The sequence below is a fragment of the Homo sapiens genome, chromosome 7 (genome assembly GCF_000001405.40).
Source record: "Homo sapiens chromosome 7, GRCh38.p14 Primary Assembly".
NCBI lineage: Eukaryota > Metazoa > Chordata > Mammalia > Primates > Hominidae > Homo > Homo sapiens.
This window is the reverse complement of record NC_000007.14, coordinates 153,972,960-153,990,009: the sequence shown is the minus strand read 5'-3', so window position 1 is coordinate 153,990,009 and position 17,050 is coordinate 153,972,960. Positions and strand designations below refer to the sequence as shown.

The following is a 17,050-nucleotide window of genomic DNA, read 5'->3' as shown; positions in this document are numbered from 1 at the left end:
GACTGAGGGCAAGGCTGGCAGGGGGGTGAGCTGTTGGGGGTGTGGCTCTTAGGGGTGGGGCTTGCTGGGGGCGGGGCTGGCCACTGCGAGGCTGGCAGGTGGCAGGACTGTCAGGTCAGGGGACATTGGAGACAGGGCCTCCTTGCATCTTGCAGGTGGGCAGAGCCCTGTGTAATTGGACATGCTGTCCCTATCCTGGCCTAAAACAGTGGTCCACGCTCTCTCATGCAGGGATAACACGTGGCAAACCTCGCACCAGTACCTCACAGGCATCCACATCCTCCTACCTCTGCACCACACCAAGCATCCCCAGTGTTCTCCATCCCCAGACTCTCTCAAGCTCATTCTGGGGCAAGTCACTGCCTGTGGGCTCCAGGGACTCGCCCCAGCTGTGAGCACCCCCCTTTTCCTCCCTGGACCGCAGCTGGGGTCCTGCTTCCCGCACACGTTGGCAAGGAAGCTGGAGTCCGGCTTCTGGCATACCTTGGCAAGGTGAAAACTCGCAGGGTGCCCTGGTGCCCTGCTCCCAGGACAGCGGCCAGCCCAGGAGGACCTCCGAGCCCCTCCTCAAATGCCAAGCGCGGCCCGCCCTGTGTGCACACGTGTGTGTACACACAATCACACAACTCTCACTCCTCCCCATACTCACTCCCCCACACTCACACACTTGCACACTCACACTCACACAAATCTTACTCCCCACACTCACACACTTGCACAGTCACGCACACATTCACCCACTTTCTCACTCGCCCACTCAGTGACACACACTGTGACACGCTCACACTTTCTCCCATTTTCACACCCACCCACCCACTCACACTCACACCCTCTCCCGCACACGCTCACCCACACTCACACCCGGTGCTGCACACCAGAGAGCCGCCCTCCTCCGCCCACAAGCCCCGCCACCCCAGCAGCACCTCGCGGGCGCTGTCCCTGAAGCTGGGCTCTCTGGGAAAGGGCAGGGGAAGAGCAGGCCAGGGAAAAGCTCATGAAATCCCCACCAGGTGAAAACGCTAATCCCTTTTTCTGCGCGGAGAAATCCCCGTGTAATGACCTGCGAAGCCCCCTTCCCACCACTCCCGGCGCGCTGGCCCGCCTGACTTCCATACATCACCGCTCTCCCAGCTTTCGCTGACTCTTCGTTTTTTAAGTCTTGGGAAAGCAATGCAATCTCCATAGCAATCTGGAGTTCACAGAAACTGCATTTCCGGGATTCATTTATTCCTCCGACTCACTGCTGGAGGCTAGATCATTCCTCATTTCCATGATTTCCTATCCACGCTGAGAAGCTCTTCAACTCCAGCCTGCCCACCCCGACGTGCCATCGACCAGGAAGCACCGCTTGGAGCACCCCTTTCTCCGGGCCCCGCTCTGAGCTTCCTCAGTGGGAGCATCCCCCGATGCCCTCCTTGACTCATGGGGCTGGGAACGGCCTCCTTCCTGGCCCCTCTCTCCCTCAAAAAAGGGTGGGTGAGGCCAGAACTTGGAAGACAAACAAATGTGCAAGCCTCCACAATTCTAATTCCAAATGAATAATGGTAACACTGTCCATCTCTTTGCCCTTTGCACACACACAGGCACACACACGTCACCACACCTTACCAGCACAGCAGGCAAACCAGAGGACAGTGGTATCCACTTTCTGATGGGTCGCAACCAGGAGGGCCATCCTGGCCATTGCCATCCACACACCCCTGGAGCATTCAGACCCCCGGAGCTCCGCGGACTGGTCCACTCCAGCACTGTCAGCCCTCCTGGCTGGGAAGTGGAGCAAAAGGCGCCAGCTTCTTGTCACCCTCAGTTTGATGCATCACCCTCGACGCCCTCCCTCCCTCCTCCGTCAAGGGAAAAAAAGAAGGAGGACAGCCACCCATCTAAGATTAAGTTCACTGAGGCAATCCCATCCCCTCTGGAATTCTCCAGGGACAAAGGGTAATTAGAGAGCAGTTGCTGAGCAGCTCTGGTTGTTTAGGGACTGGCTTCCAGGGTTCAGGTCCTGGTGCCCCAATTTAGCTCCTCCTGGCATGCTGTCTTCCCCCTGACTCTGTTTCCCCTCCTCCAAGCTGACCAATTCCATACTGGCCGGTGACAAAGCACCCCACGTATTTATGCTGCTGCCTCGCTCTCATAAATTATATCAGTTTCCCAGACGAAGGCCCCTTGGCTGTGAAGGAGGATGCCATTTTATTTATGCTGCACTTACACACCTGCATACTGAACTCTATATTTAAATCAGACAACAAATCAATGGTACCAAGGGGAAACAGATGGAGAAAGTCCTCCCCAGCTGCAGCACCCCACAGCTCTCTGCTGGGTCCTCCGATGGTGACTGACCCTAGTTATGGTCAGCATGCCACTCTACCTCACGCTGCTCCTACGTCAATTTCCCCGTCCAACGGAAATGGAATGAGATTGACATTTAGTTTTCTGAGGGAAAAAAAAAAATGGTTTGAATTCATTTCTTCCCACTTCTGTAAATTATATGTGTGAATTACCTAGAAGGCACTCATCTGCAGACCAGATTGAGAATCTCCCACTAACTCCTTCCCTGGTGAGGGGGAATAAGCTTCCAAGAGAAGTTTCGTTCTACAACTACACAAACCATGCATTCTTTAGAATGATTTTCTAAGCCTGTTCAGTTCACAAGGGGAGTCTGGGAGCCAGTGATTCAACGTAAGCAAATTGCATTGAAGCCCCAGGCATGGTACTAGAAGCTGTCTTAGTGGAGCAGTATATATGCTTAGTGGAGCACATTTACAAACAATGACACCAATTTATATTGCAATCTACTTCTCCTCATTGAGAGTTCTTTGGTTTAATCATGAATAAATTAGCAAGGGTGATGCCATAAAACTCAGGGGTGTAAAATCTTACATCTTGGTGCATTGCAACTTTTACCAAATAATAAATAACATCTCGACAAATTTTTAAATGCTTACTTTCTGAGCAGTCTGTGCCTGGCTAAAAATGAAACAATTCAAACCAAACCGAACTAACCTTACTCTGGATAATGTGACCATACTATAAATTTATTTTATAAGTAGCCTCTTTTTTTTCCTTTTATCTCACAGCTTCATTCAAATTAAATGATTCAACTAGAACTTTCTCAGTATCTACTTCTGGGGCCATCTCAGTGCAACGTGCTCTACAGGATAAAGAGATGGAGAAGACATCAACATTTCTTGCTTCAAGAGTTTACAAATCACTTGCCTGGTTTTCCTCATAAGAAGTCAACAGTATTTCTTGCTGAAATTTAAATTATACATGTAATTTTTAGTATACATTTGTCTATGCCTGTAACAAGAAGCACTTGCGGAATTCCAAAGGAAAAGTTCACCAACGATTCCTGCTAAAACTTTCAGCATTCAATGTTGTGGCATCTCAGTGATCTCAGCAGAAATCACGCTCAATCCCAGCAGGATTTTCATGGTCCTCTGGTCCCTACTTGCATGCATCCTCTAATGAGTCCTTCAAGTTTGGACTGAGGCAAGGAGATTATATTATTTCTATTTGCCTAGTCTTTTCTTAAGGGCATTTTTTTCCAGATCTGTAAGATCTAAGCAAATACTTCGCTGGATCACATCTTAATTAAAAATTGTGTATCCAATTTGGGGCCTGAAGATGTGAGATGAACAGGTCTCGGTAGGAGTTCAGAAGAAGCCATAAAAAAAATAGAAAGATAGCTTCTCTACTTAGACAAATAGAAAAAAAGGCACTGAAAATTTCCAAGGAAGACATGATGGCATGAAATGTGTTAAAAAGCAATTTTTTTACATGATGAGTTCTTTAAAGTGTGAAAAATGCATATCTATTTTCTGTTTCCAATGGGGACTGGGAAAGAAAAGGGTTTGGTTTGAATTTCATCAGAAGGGATGTAGGTCGGACATCAGAATGTGTAACCAGTGGAAACAAAAACATTTTTCTGTCTACAGCCATACGACCCTGAACGCACCTGATCTTATCAAAGACATTTTTTCTCCCTTTCTCTCTCTGGAGGGTTTTAAAACAATGTGTGGGTGTCTGTGATTACTCAGACGCCTAGAAGTCAGAGAGGGCTACAGAGGACCTGTTAAGGTCTTTTATTCCTCCTGGCCCCAAACTGTTGCCCAAGTATAGATTTGAAATAAAGAGTTTTCTTTTTCATAGTTAGATTTTTGTTCCAGAATGTCAATTTCACCTGTTTCAGAGAGATACACAAAGTTCATTTCTCCATCCATCCCAAATTGCCAAATCCCACGTCTAGGAAATGTAGCTTATTTCCTAAAATGTTATTTAGTCATTTTCCTTTTCTCTCTGTTATTCTGCTCAAATTATTCAATGTCTACTACAGTATGGAGAGTTCATGTTTCCACTGGATTTACTCAATGCCTGTCAATATAATCTACTGAGTACAAAGTAAAGAAATAATATGACAAACCCCAACTCTTTCTTTCCTTAGTCCCATCCACCACACCAAGATAAAAAAGTAGATCATTTCTCTCTGACCTGGAAGAATGGGAGGCTGGCTGGTCACATGATCAGCTGGGGATGCCTTGGGCCACCCGGGGAGCAATGACATTAGTCCTTGACAGAATTTCTTCCTACTGTGACAGAACTGGTCCCACTGTGAGTAAAGCTACAGAGGATGTCATGCTAAAGCTGTGAGCTAGTGCTGTTGCTCTTAGGGGAGTGGTGAATCTGGGGACCAGAAGATAAAGACACAACTTTGTCCAGTCCCTCTTGATTCCTCTCCCTCCACAGATTATTTCTGTACCCCTTCAAAGTGTCTCACCTCTCCCTCTAGCCCAATCAAAGATCTAATCCCAATCCTCAGTCAATGGGAGGCAAAGTAGTCTTAAAACATGGACCTCCACTCTCATTGGAAAATAGAAAGACACATCACATGGGCAAATAGGTACAGTACTCAGTCAGCACTGCGAGCAGGGACCTGCCTGGATCTTAATCTCTATCTTTCCCTTGTACAGTGAATGGCAGGACCTGTGTGTTCAGCAAAGGCTGGCCGATAAATGAAGGACCATTCTAGCTTGGGGAATGAAGACACATTGGCCACTTTATCCCTAGTGCACTGAATATGCATAGTGCAAAGATTCTTTCCTCCTAGACACTGGAACAAATGGCAGAGATGAGACTGGAAGATGCACCACTCAAACTTCCTCGCCACAGATCACAGCTTTGCTTTTAAGGGAAAAGTGTCATAGAAGCCAAAAATGAGATCAGAGCACTCCACATATAAAAAGTTTCAAAAGAGTTTGAATTTTAAAGATTAAATTGAATTAAATGATGACAACCTCATGGGGGAATTCATGAAGAACAAGTGGGGATATTTCAAATGGTATCAGTACACTGTACTGTCTGGATCTCCCTCTCCTAATTCAGCTATGCGAATGCAAAACTCAGCAGAACAGGAGTCTGTATTTCCATAGGATTCATTTTTTATGCAATAAAAATAAGAGAATTCCCCCTGAAGTTGCACCTGCTCCAAGGCAGTTTCATGCACAAATCATTCAGACTGCTTCTTAGGATACCAGAATTTGCAAGGGAAGAAAAAAAGTTTGTTAAGTCTCTTCTTCGTGCCCCCTGATGCCTTCATTTTGGGGGTTGATTTCTGGTAATATTGTCTTGTGTACATGTTTCTATGAAAAAGTTTTTCTTTAGGCCCTCCTGTGAAATGCAGAAGGAGGTGTTTGCAATAAAGGTTTCTTGAACTTTTAAATTACTGCATAATTTCTGAAATTCTTATATTAATATACACATTAGATAGAAATCACAGACATAAGGAGAAATAGCTCTGACCTAACAATTGAGATAAATTGTTTCTAATCCTGGGATACCCACAAATTTGCTGTGTGAGTGATATTCAAAGACATCTAATGACTTGCCCAAAATTTCACTTGTGACACGTGTGTGTGTGTGTGTGTGTGTGTGTGTGTGTGTGTGTGTGTGTGTGTGTTATGGACAGAATGGTTGTTAGAATAAACAGCATCTGTAAGGAGGATTCCTGGCCAAAATGGCCAAATAGGAACAGCTCCGATCTGCAGCTCCCAGCGAGACCAATGCAGAAGGTGGGTGATTTCTGCATTTCCAACTGAGGTACACAGTCCGTCTCACTGGGACTGGTTAGACAGTGGGTGCAGCCCATGGAGGGTGAGCAGAAGCAGGGTGGGGCATCACCTCACTCAGGAAGCACAAGGGGTCACGGAACTCCCTCCCCTGGCCAAGGGAAGCCATGAGGGACTGTGCCGTGAGGGACAATGCTATCCAGCCCAATACTAGGCTTTTCCCACGGTCTTCACAACCCACAGACCAGGAGATTCCCTTGGGTGCCTATATCACCAGGTCCCTGGCTTTCAAGCACAAAACTGGGTGGCCATTTGGGCAGACACCAAGCTAGCTGGAGGAGTTTTTTATCATACCCCAGTGCTTCCTGGAACACCAGTGAGACAGAACTGTTCACTCACCTGGAAAGGAGGCTGAGGCCAGGGAGCCAAGTGGTCTTGCTCAGCGGAGCCCATCTCCATGGAGCCCAATAAGCTAAGATCTACTGGCTTAAAGTTCTGGCTGCCAGCACAGCCGTCTGAAGTTGACCTGGGATGCTCAAGCTTGGTCAGGGGAGGGGTGATCGCCATTACTGAGGCTTGAGTACGTGGTTTTCCCCTCACAGTGTAAACAAAGCCACAGGGAAGCTCAGACTGGGCGGAGCCCATGGCAGCACGGCCAAGCCACTGCAGCCAGACTGCCTCTCTAGATTCCTTCTCTCTGGGCAGGGCATCTCTGAAAGAAAGGCAGCAGCCCCAGTCAGGGGCATATAGATAAAACTCCCATCTCCCTGAGACACAGCACCTTTGGGAAGGGGCGGCTGTGGGCGCAGCTTCAGCAGAATTAAACGTTCCTGCCTGCTGGCTCTGAAGACAGCAGTGGATCTCCCAGCACAGCGCTCAAGCTCTGCTAAGGGACAGACTGCCTCATCAAGTGGGTCCCTCACCCCCGTACCTCCTGACGGGGAGACACCTCCCAGCAGAGGTCGATAGACACCTCATACAGGAGAGCTCTGACTGGCATCTGGTGGGTGCCCCTCTGGGACCAAGCTTCCAGAAGAAGAAGCAGGCAGCAATCTTTGCTGTTCTGCAGCCTTCACTGGTGATACCCAGGCAAACAGGGTCTGGAGTGGACCTCCAGCAAACTCCAGCAGACCTGCAGAAGAGGTGACTGACTGTTAGAAGAAAAACTAACAAACAGAAAGGAATAGCATCGACATAAACAAAAAGGACGACAACGCAAAAACCCCAACTGAAGGTCACCAACATCAAATACCAAAGGTAGAGAAATCCATGAAGAGGAGGAAAAACCAGCGCGAAAAGGCTGAAAATTCCAAAAACCGGAATTCCTCTTCTCCTCCAAAGGATCACAACTCCTCACCAGCAAGGGAACAAAACTGGATGGAGAATGAGTTTGACAAATTGACAGTAGGCTTCAGAAGGTGGATAATAACAAAATCCTCTGAGCTAAAGGAGCATGTTCTAACCCAATGCAAGGAAGCTAAGAACTTTGATAAAAAGTTATAGGAACTGCTAACTAGAATAACCAGTTTAGAGAAGAACATAAATGACCTGATGGAGCTGAAAAACACAGCACAAGAACTTTGTGAAGCATATACAAGTATCAATAGCTGAAGCAATCAAGCAGAAGAAGGGGTATCAGAGATTGAAGATCAACTTAATGAAATAAAGAATGAAGACAAGATTAGAGAAAAAAGAATGAAAAGAAACGAACAAAACCTCCAAGAAATATGGGACTATGTGGAAAGACCAAACATACGTTTGATTGGTGTACCTGAAAGTGACAGGAAGAATGGAACCAAGTTGGAAAACACACTTCAGGATATTATCCAGAAGAACTTCCCCAACCTAGCAAGGCAGGCCAACATTCAAATTCAGGAAATACAGAGAACACCACAAAGATACTCCTCAAGAAGGGCAACCCCAAGATACATAATCGTCAGATTCACCAAGGTTGAAATGAAGGAAAAAATGTTAAGGGCAGCCAGAGAGAAAGGTCAGGTTACCTACAAAGGAAAGCCCATCAGACTAACAGCGGATCTCTCTGCAGAAACCCTACAAGCCAGAAGAGAGTGGGGGCCAATAGTCAACATTCTTAAAAAAAAAAAAATTCAACCCAGAATTTCATATCCTGCCAAACTAAGCTTTGTAAGCAAAGGAGAAATAAAATCCTTTACAGACAAGCAAATGCTGAGAGATTTTGTCACCACCAGGCCTTCCCTAAAAGAGCTCCTCAAGGAAGCACTAAATATGGAAAGGGAAAACTAGTAACAGCCACTGCAAAAACATACCAAAATGTAAAGACCATCGACACTATGAAGAAACTGCATCAACTAATGAGCAAAGTAACCAGCTACCATCATAACAACAGGATCAAATTCACACATAACAGTATTAACCTTAAATGTAAATGCACTAAATGCCCCAATTAAAAGATACAAACTGGCAAATTGGATAAAGAGTCAAGACCCACTGGTATGCTGTATTCAGGAGACCCACTTCACATGCAGAGACACACATAGGCTTAAAATAAAGGGATGGAGGAAAATTAACCAAGTAAATAGAAAGTAAAAAAAGCAGGGCTTGCAGTAGTCTCTGATAAAACAGACTTTAAACCAATAAAAGTCAAAAAAGACAAGGAAGGGCATTACATAATGGTAAAGGGATCAATGCAACAAGAAGAGCTAACTATCCTAAATATGTATGCACCCAATACAGGAGCACCCAGATTCATAAAGCAAGTTCTTAGAGAACTACAAAGAGACTTAGACTCCCACACAATAATAGTGGGATACTTCAACATCTCACTGTCAATATTAGACAGATGAAGGAGACATAAAATTAACAAGGATATTCAGGACTTGAACTCAGCTCTGGACCAAGTGGACTTAATAGGCATCTACAGAACTCTCCACCCCAAATCAACAGAATATACATTCTTCTCAGCACTACATAGCACTTATTCTAAAATTGACCACATAATTGGAGTAAAACGCTCCTCAGCAAATGCAAAAGAACGGAAATTAAAGCGAACAGTCTCTCAGACCACGGCACAATCAAATTAGAACTCAGGATTAAGACACTCACTCAAAACTGCACAACTACATGGAAACTGAACAACCTGCTCCTGAATGACTACTGGGTAAATAATGAAATTAAGGCAGAAATAAGTAAGTTCTTTGAAACCAATGAGAACAAAGGCACAATGTACCAGAATCCCTGGGACAAAGCTAAAGCAGTATTTAGACGGACATTTATGGCACTAAACACCCACATGAGAAAGCAAGAAAGGTCTAAGGTTGACACCCTAACTTCACAATCAAAAGAACTAGAAAAGCAAGAGCAAATACATTCAAAAGCTAGCAGAAGACAGTAAATAATTAAGATCAGAGCAGAACTGAAGGAGATAGACACACAAAAAACCCTTCAAAAATCAATGAATCCAGGAGCTGGTTTTTTTTAAAAGATTAACAAAATAGATAGACCACTAACCAGACTAATAAAGAAGAAAAGAAAAAAGAATCAAATAGACACAATAGAAAATGATAAAGGGGATATCAACACTGATCCCACACAAAATACACACTACCATCAGAGAATATTATAAACACCTCTATGCAAATAAACTAGAAAATCTGGAAGAAATGGATAAATTCCTGGACACATACACCCTCCCAAGACTAAACCACGAAGAAGTCAAATCCCTGAATAGACTAATAACAAGTTCGGAAATTGATACAGTAATTAATAGCCTACCAACCAAAAAAAAGCCCAGGACCAGACGGATTCACAGCCAAATTCTACCAGAGGTACAAAGAGGAGCTGGTACCATTCCTTCTAAAACTATTCCAAACAATAGAAAAAGAGGGAATCCTCCCTAACTCATTTTTGAGGCCAGCATCATCCTGATACCAAAACCTAGCAGAGACACAACTAAAAAAGAAAATTTCAGGCCAATATCCCTGATGAACATTGATGCAAAAATCCTCAATAAAATACTGGCAAACTGAATACAGCAGCAGATCAAAAAGCTTATCCACCATGATCAACTCGGCTTCAACTCTGGGATGTAAGGGTGGTTCAACACATGCAAATCAATAAACATAATACATCACATAAACAGAATCAGTGACAAAAACCACATGATTATCTCAATAGATGCAGAAAAGGCCTTTGATAAAATTCAACACCCCCTCATGCTAAAAACACTCAATAAACTAGGTATTGATGGGACGTATCTCAAAATAATAAGAGCTATTTATGACAAACCCACAGCCAATATCACACTGAATGGGCAAAAGCTGGAAACATTCCCTTTGAAAACTGGCACAAGACAAGGATGCCCTCTCTCACCACTCCTATTCAACATAGTATTGGGAGTTCTTGCCAGGGCAATCAGGCAAGAGAAAGAAATAAAGCATATTCAATTAGGAAGAGAGGAAGTCAAATTATCTGTTTGCAGATGACATGACTGTATATTTAGAAAATCCCATTGCCTCAGCCCAAAAACTCCTTAAGCTGATAAGCAACTTCAGCAAAGTCTCAGGATACAAAAATCAATGTGCAAAAATGCACAAGCATTCCTATACACCAATAATAGACAAACAGAGAGCCAAATCATGAGTGAACTCCCATTCACAATTGCTTCAAAGAGAATAAAATACCTAGGAATCCAACTGACAAGGGGTGTGAAGGACCTCTTCAAGGAGAACTACAAACCACTTCTCAAGGAAATAAGAGAGGACACAAACAAATGGAAAAACATTCCATAGTCATGGATAAGAAGAATCAATATTGTGAAAATGGCCATACTGCCCAAAGTAATTTATAGATTCAATGCCATCCCCATCAAGCTACCACTGACTTTCTTCACAGAATTAGAAAAAACTACTTTAAATTTCATATGGAACCGAAAAAAGAGCCCATATAGCCAAGACAATCCTAAGCAAAAAGAATAAAGCTGGAGGCATCATGGTACCTGACTTCAAACTATAAGGCTACAGTAACCAAAACAGCACGGTACTGTTACCAAAACAGATATATCAACCAATGAAGCAGAACAGAGGCCTCAGAAGTAACACTGCACAACTACAACCATCTGATCTTTGACAAACCTAACAAAAACAAGCAATGGGGAAACGATTACCTATTTAATAAATGGTGTTGGGAAAACTGTCTAGCCATATGCAGAAAACTGAAACTGGACGTTTTCCTTACACTTTATACAAAAATTAACTTAAGATAAAGATTTAAATGTAAGACCTAAAACCATAAAAACCCTAGAAGAAAACCTAGGCAATACCATTCATGACATAGTCATGGGCAAAGTCTTCCTGACTAAAACGCCAAAAGCAATTGCAACAAAAGCCAAAATTGACAAATGGGATCTAATTAAAGAGCTTCTGCACAGCAAAAACAAAACAAAGCAAAACAAAAAACAACTACCATCAGAGTGAACAGGGAGAAAATTTTTGCAATCTATCCATCTGACAAAGGGCTAATATCCAGAATCTACAAGGAACCTAAACAAATTTACAAGAAAAAAACAACCCCATCAAAAAGTGGGCAAAGGATATGAACAGACACTTTTCAAACGAAGACATTTATGCAGCCAACAAACATATGAAAAAAATCTCACCATCACTGGTCATTAGAGAAATACAAATCAAAACCACAATGAGATACCATCTCACACCAGTTAAAATGGCGATCATTAAAAAGTCAGGAAACAACAGATGCTGGAGAGGATGTGGGGAAATAAGAACGCTTTTACACTGTTGGTGGGAGTATAAATTAGTTCAACCATTGTGGAAGACAGTGTGGTGGTTCCTTAAGGATCTAGAACTAGAAATATCACTTGACCCAGCAATCCCATTACTGGGTATATACCCAAAGGATTATAAATCATTCCATTATAAAGACACATGCACACGTATATTTATTGTGGCACTATTCACAATAGCAAAGACTTGGAACCAACCCAAATGCCCATCAATGACAGACTGGATAAAGAAAATGTGGCACATATACACCATGGAATACTATGCAGCCATAAAAAGAATGAGTTCGTGTCCTTTTCAGGGACATGGATGAAGCTGGAAACCATCATTCTCAGCAAACAAACAGGAACAGAAAACCAAACACCATGTGTTCTCACTCATAGGTGGGAGTTGAACAATGAGAACAAATGGGCACAGTGAGGGGAACATCACACACTGGGGTCTGTCGGGGGTGGGGGACAAGGGGAGGGATAGCATTAGGAGAAATACCTAATGTAGATGACGGGTTGATGGGTGAAGCAAACCACCATGGCACATGTATACCTACATAACAAACTGCACATTCTGCAACATGTATCCCAGAACTTAAAGTATAATAAAAAAAGTAAAATCAGGACAAAAAGAAAGAATGAGGCTGGGGCCTGGAGAAAGAAAGATAAACAGCTCGGGTACTTCTCATAAGGAGCTGGTGACCTAGAGACACATGCACATAAAGCTGTTATAATAAATGTGATATAATAGAGGGAGAAAGACCACTGAAGCCCAGTACTGATTGTGGCAAAGGCCGCTGCTGTCAGCCACAGCTGTGCACCTCCTCTTCCCTAGTGTAACTTTGCTGCTAGGTAGCAGCTTCCCAGCCTGGGACTATACTTCCAGCGGCATCTCTTGCACACAAACGTAGTCATGGTCAAATTTTGTAATAAAAGCTGATCAAAGCAAAGGTCAACACACACACACACACACACACACCCCTATTGGTACCTACTTAATGCAAATGCCACCTACCATGTTAACCTTTGGGCCAAGAGGAGTCTAGAGACTCCTAAAGAGAAAAAAAAGAAAGAAAACATGAAGATTTCTGTATTTAAGGCTCTTTGGTGACATGAAAAAGAGCCAGGAGCTCCTGCAGCTTAGAAGAAGTGTGCAGAATGAAAAGTGGGGCTACCGTGCACAGCAGAGCAGAGGGTGCTATCCCCTGAGCAGGACCACGGCTCACCCCGACCCTGAGGTCCCAGGCCACAGAGCCGCGTGGCAAGGCTGAGCTCTCCTGGTGGAGCATGAGGTGTGAGGGAGGGGCCCAGTGGCAGCCCCGATGTCCCTTCCATCTCTTCAGAATGCTTAGGATCATGCCTCCCCTGACTTAGAAATAAAGTCCAGCAATCAAGTCCCCATGGGCATCCTCTTGATGAATTACACTCCCTCCTTTTATGTCAGATGTTCCTTAATGCTTCATTGTGACTTCCAGGCAGGTGAGCTTTTGAAAATATTCATTTTCTTCCTTCTTCATGAAAATCATTTCTTGCCCTCCCAACCTGATTCAACATCAGATCTTTGACTTTCACTATAACACTATTTCTCAGTATGTTTCAATAGAAGTTGCAGTTCTTACTGTTTTTGGCAAAATACATTTTTCCATTATCAGTGTTTAAACGTACGAGTGCAGTTTTAGCGAAATATCTTCATGATGACTTCTGGATCCCTGGAGGGATAATAAGACTGAAACACCACAGGAAGCTTTACTTTAAACCAGGGTTGGCTCTTGATGGAGTGGTATGCAGTTGGTTCTTCGTGTTTCTGTTGTTAGCTGGATCAGATTTCCACACTGTTGTCTGTTAGAGAAATGCGCCCAAGGAGATGTATAAAGCTGTCTCAGACGTTTCAGTGTTTAAGACTAGAGAACACTGGGTTTGCTGGTTCCCTCACATTCTACACTCTCCCCTGTATCTCTGGGGATCCTGGCTTCTTTTTCTTTCAATACAGACTTCTTTTATTACAGGTTTGCAGTACACCCTCTCCTTCACCCTTACTCAGGTTTGCAGTTCACCCTCCCCTTCACCCTTCCCAGTTCATGTCCAAGTCCAAGCACAGCCTAAGACCTCACACACTGCAGGTAATAATAACAGTAACAGTAGCAACAAGAATGATAGTAAATGAAATTTACTGAGCATTTTCTACATGCCAGGCACTTGTTAAAGAGCTTTTCAATTAGCCACTCATTTAATTGTAATAATAACCATGTGAAATAGATATTATCATCCCCATCCTACACATGGAAAGACTGAGGCTAAGAGAGGTTTCATAAGTTGCCTCCGACCTCACATTGAGTGACGGCTAGAGCCATTATTTGATTTCAAGCTTTTTGACTTCAAAGTCTCTATTCAATGTCTATGCTATATTGCTTTTGTCATATTTTCCTTTTTTCTTGAAGGATTTGCAATTAAGATGTAAAGAAAACTATTATCTTGACTTCCAGTTCATGTTTTACCATTTTGATATTAAGCCAAAGTAATAACATTCTTATTTTGACCAAGGTCTTACAGGGAAATTTTAGGTATGACTTACTCTACCAAGTAAAAAAAAAAAATAGAACTCTCATTGCAGTATTTTCTTTTTTTTTTTTAGAAAATATACCATAGTTTTCTCTCTTAGTTCAAGTTGCCTTAATTCCCTGTAGACCCATAACAAGGAGACTTGCTGTGAAACTTGCAAGGCCACTGGGTAAAATGATCCCCACTTTCCTGAAACATAACTGTTTTGGTAAAATTTCTCTAATAGAGAGTCTAGAAAATCTTTGTAGGCTTAAGTTCCCAGGTACTCTGTGGGGGTGGGTGGGGGGTCCTGTTTCTAACGATCTATCCCCAGGGCTTACACCTAGGGGTGGTTTCACAGAAGACTCCTTTCATAAGTGAAATAATTTTTTTTTTTTAAACTAAGAATTCTTGCTTTTTTTGCATTTGATATTTCTTCCACTACATTTTCTTTGTTTGGCTATACACCCGAATTCCCCAGTCCTAGCAAATTTAAGATTCCCACTATGTACCTAGATTTACGTCTCATGGGTACTCCAGTGCCTACTGCTCTGGCTGGTACGTAGTAGGTATTTAGTATTTGCTAAGTAAAGAGGAACATTGAATTAATTGAATTGGATTCCCTGAAACAGGATTCGAAGCCTTAGCCAAATGTGAGCCCTCGCTTGGACATGGTCGAAGAAGCCAGCGCATTAGGAAGGATTAGCTTCATTTCCAGCCAGAAAAACACTCCAGAGTGACAACTTAGTTGAGTCCTGCTGCAGGCTTGGTTCTGGTTTGCTGCATGCAGGGCTGCTCTCTCTGGCTGAACTGGGCACAGAGATTGTGCAGCAAAGTAAACAGCTGACTGCCTTGCACCAGAGTCTCTCTGATGACACAGCGCTTGACTTCAAGTGTCAACAAACGGACCCTGAAATGAGACTAGATGTGAAACAAAGGACAGAATGTTCAAGCACTTTGCAACCGACCCTCAGGGCCCTGTGTTGGAGTCAGTGAGCCTTGGAGACAACAGGAGAGAATCCAAAAGAAAGAGGAATTGTGGAAGATTTTCTCGCTTAAGTTAACTGGAATACTCTTGTGTTTGTATTTGACTTTTTCTGTTCCCCTCTTTCTCTTGCACATTGACACATTCCCATACATTTATGATTCGGAATCAGGAAAGGGACTGCAGGCTCTGAAAGCTGAAAGAGATCATCTAACCCAAACCCTTCTTTTTTGGGGTCACAAATAAATAAGTACATTTAAAATACTTTATTCATTAGGAACTAAATCTCTGAAAATACGAAGCTCCATGGTCACAATTCCACATGGGAAACGAGAGAGTTGCCACTGCAGAGCAAGATGAAGCATGCTTGCCGGGCATCTGCCACACACTGAATGAGCCCACTGTCTATAAGAAAGTTACTACAAAAGGTGCAAGTGGCTTACCTGAAACACCCCATCAAGGATGCCATCCTGCAGTGCCTTAAATAGGCCCAACAAGTGCTTTGTGCTTTGCCTTGGACAGAAAAAGCCCACGGATTCTCATAAAGAAAGGCTTTTTTAAGACGGTCAGGCTCCAATGTGCCCGATCCTTTGCAGATGATTGGACCTGCATAGGTAAGTCCCCCTTCTGAGCACCTTGTCTGTGGTATGTTCACGGTTGTCTGCAGGACTAACAAGGATGGCTAAGGGTTCATCGGGTAAAACTTTTAAAATTGCCAAAATGAAGCTACACCAGCCTTTCCCTAAGAACTCCTGCCTTCTAAAACCAGATGTAGATTAAGACAAGAGTTGCAGCTTCTATACTAAAAATGAACAGTGCAAAATATTACAGGTACTCTTTCCTGAACACATTATACATTAAAGTTTCTGTAGTCCACACTCTGTTCTGAACCACCAGGAAGAATCCTCAGAAGACTTGTGAGACCACAGCGCTCTCTCTGGAGCAATACGAGAAGAGACTGAAACATCCTACCATTAGACACACACACACACACACACACACACACACACACACACACACACGAGCGATGGTGAACACGTTACTCTAAGTGCCGGATTCCCCACCAGACTCCCACCCCTGTTGCTTGACCCAGGACTAGAGATGGATTCATGGATTGACTTAAGCTGTGAGTTAGCTTACCATAATAGGAAAAAGAAAATGGATGAAGACTGCCCAGGAATTCCTCCCCAATCTTGCCCACGGGACCTCCACATAGTCCATTTTAGATTATGCCTACTTGGCCGCATTTTACTGAATGTTTGAAAAGAATTGCTTGATTCAGGTCGGACAACGGCTTAACCTTTCTAGACTTCCATCAGCTCTGAGTGTCTCATGCCACACCACAAAATTCTGCAGCAGCGTTTAATTCTGCATGTGACTAATGTCTGTTTATTTCAGAGAGGAAGAAAAGCCAAGGAGAGTGAGCCTTATATAAAGAATGAATGCTTAAATAAAATACCAACAACGAGAAAGCAGAAAACCATATCCGTTTTATTGTAGTTTTTTTTTCTTTCCACACTTTTCACTAAAAAATTTTTGCGACTTGTATTAATATGTTTTCAATTATTTATTAAAGTAAACCTACTTTCCTCTATGAACTAATTCAAACCAAAACAATGCCTATTTACACAAGACCTAATTTCTAAAGGCACCGTTACATCTAACCCACTTTTAGACTAAATTAAATTATTAAGA

The 17,050-nt window shown here is 43.3% G+C and overlaps 1 protein-coding gene across 8 annotated transcripts in view, besides 1 other annotated feature; it reads right to left on the bottom strand.

Annotated features, from left to right (window-relative positions):
- DPP6 (dipeptidyl peptidase like 6) overlaps positions 1 to 17,050 on the bottom strand; it is a 1,146,153-nt gene that overhangs the window by 904,276 nt on the left and 224,827 nt on the right. The gene's annotated exons all lie outside the window — the stretch shown is intronic.
- Positions 513 to 1,013: an enhancer, noted in NCBI's record as "H3K4me1 hESC enhancer chr7:153686082-153686582 (GRCh37/hg19 assembly coordinates)". NCBI's record gives its function as "activates a minimal SCP1, AML or CMV promoter by ChIP-STARR-seq in primed H9 embryonic stem cells {active_cell/tissue: H9 hESC(primed)}" and the evidence as "EXISTENCE:reporter gene assay evidence [ECO:0000049][PMID:30033119]".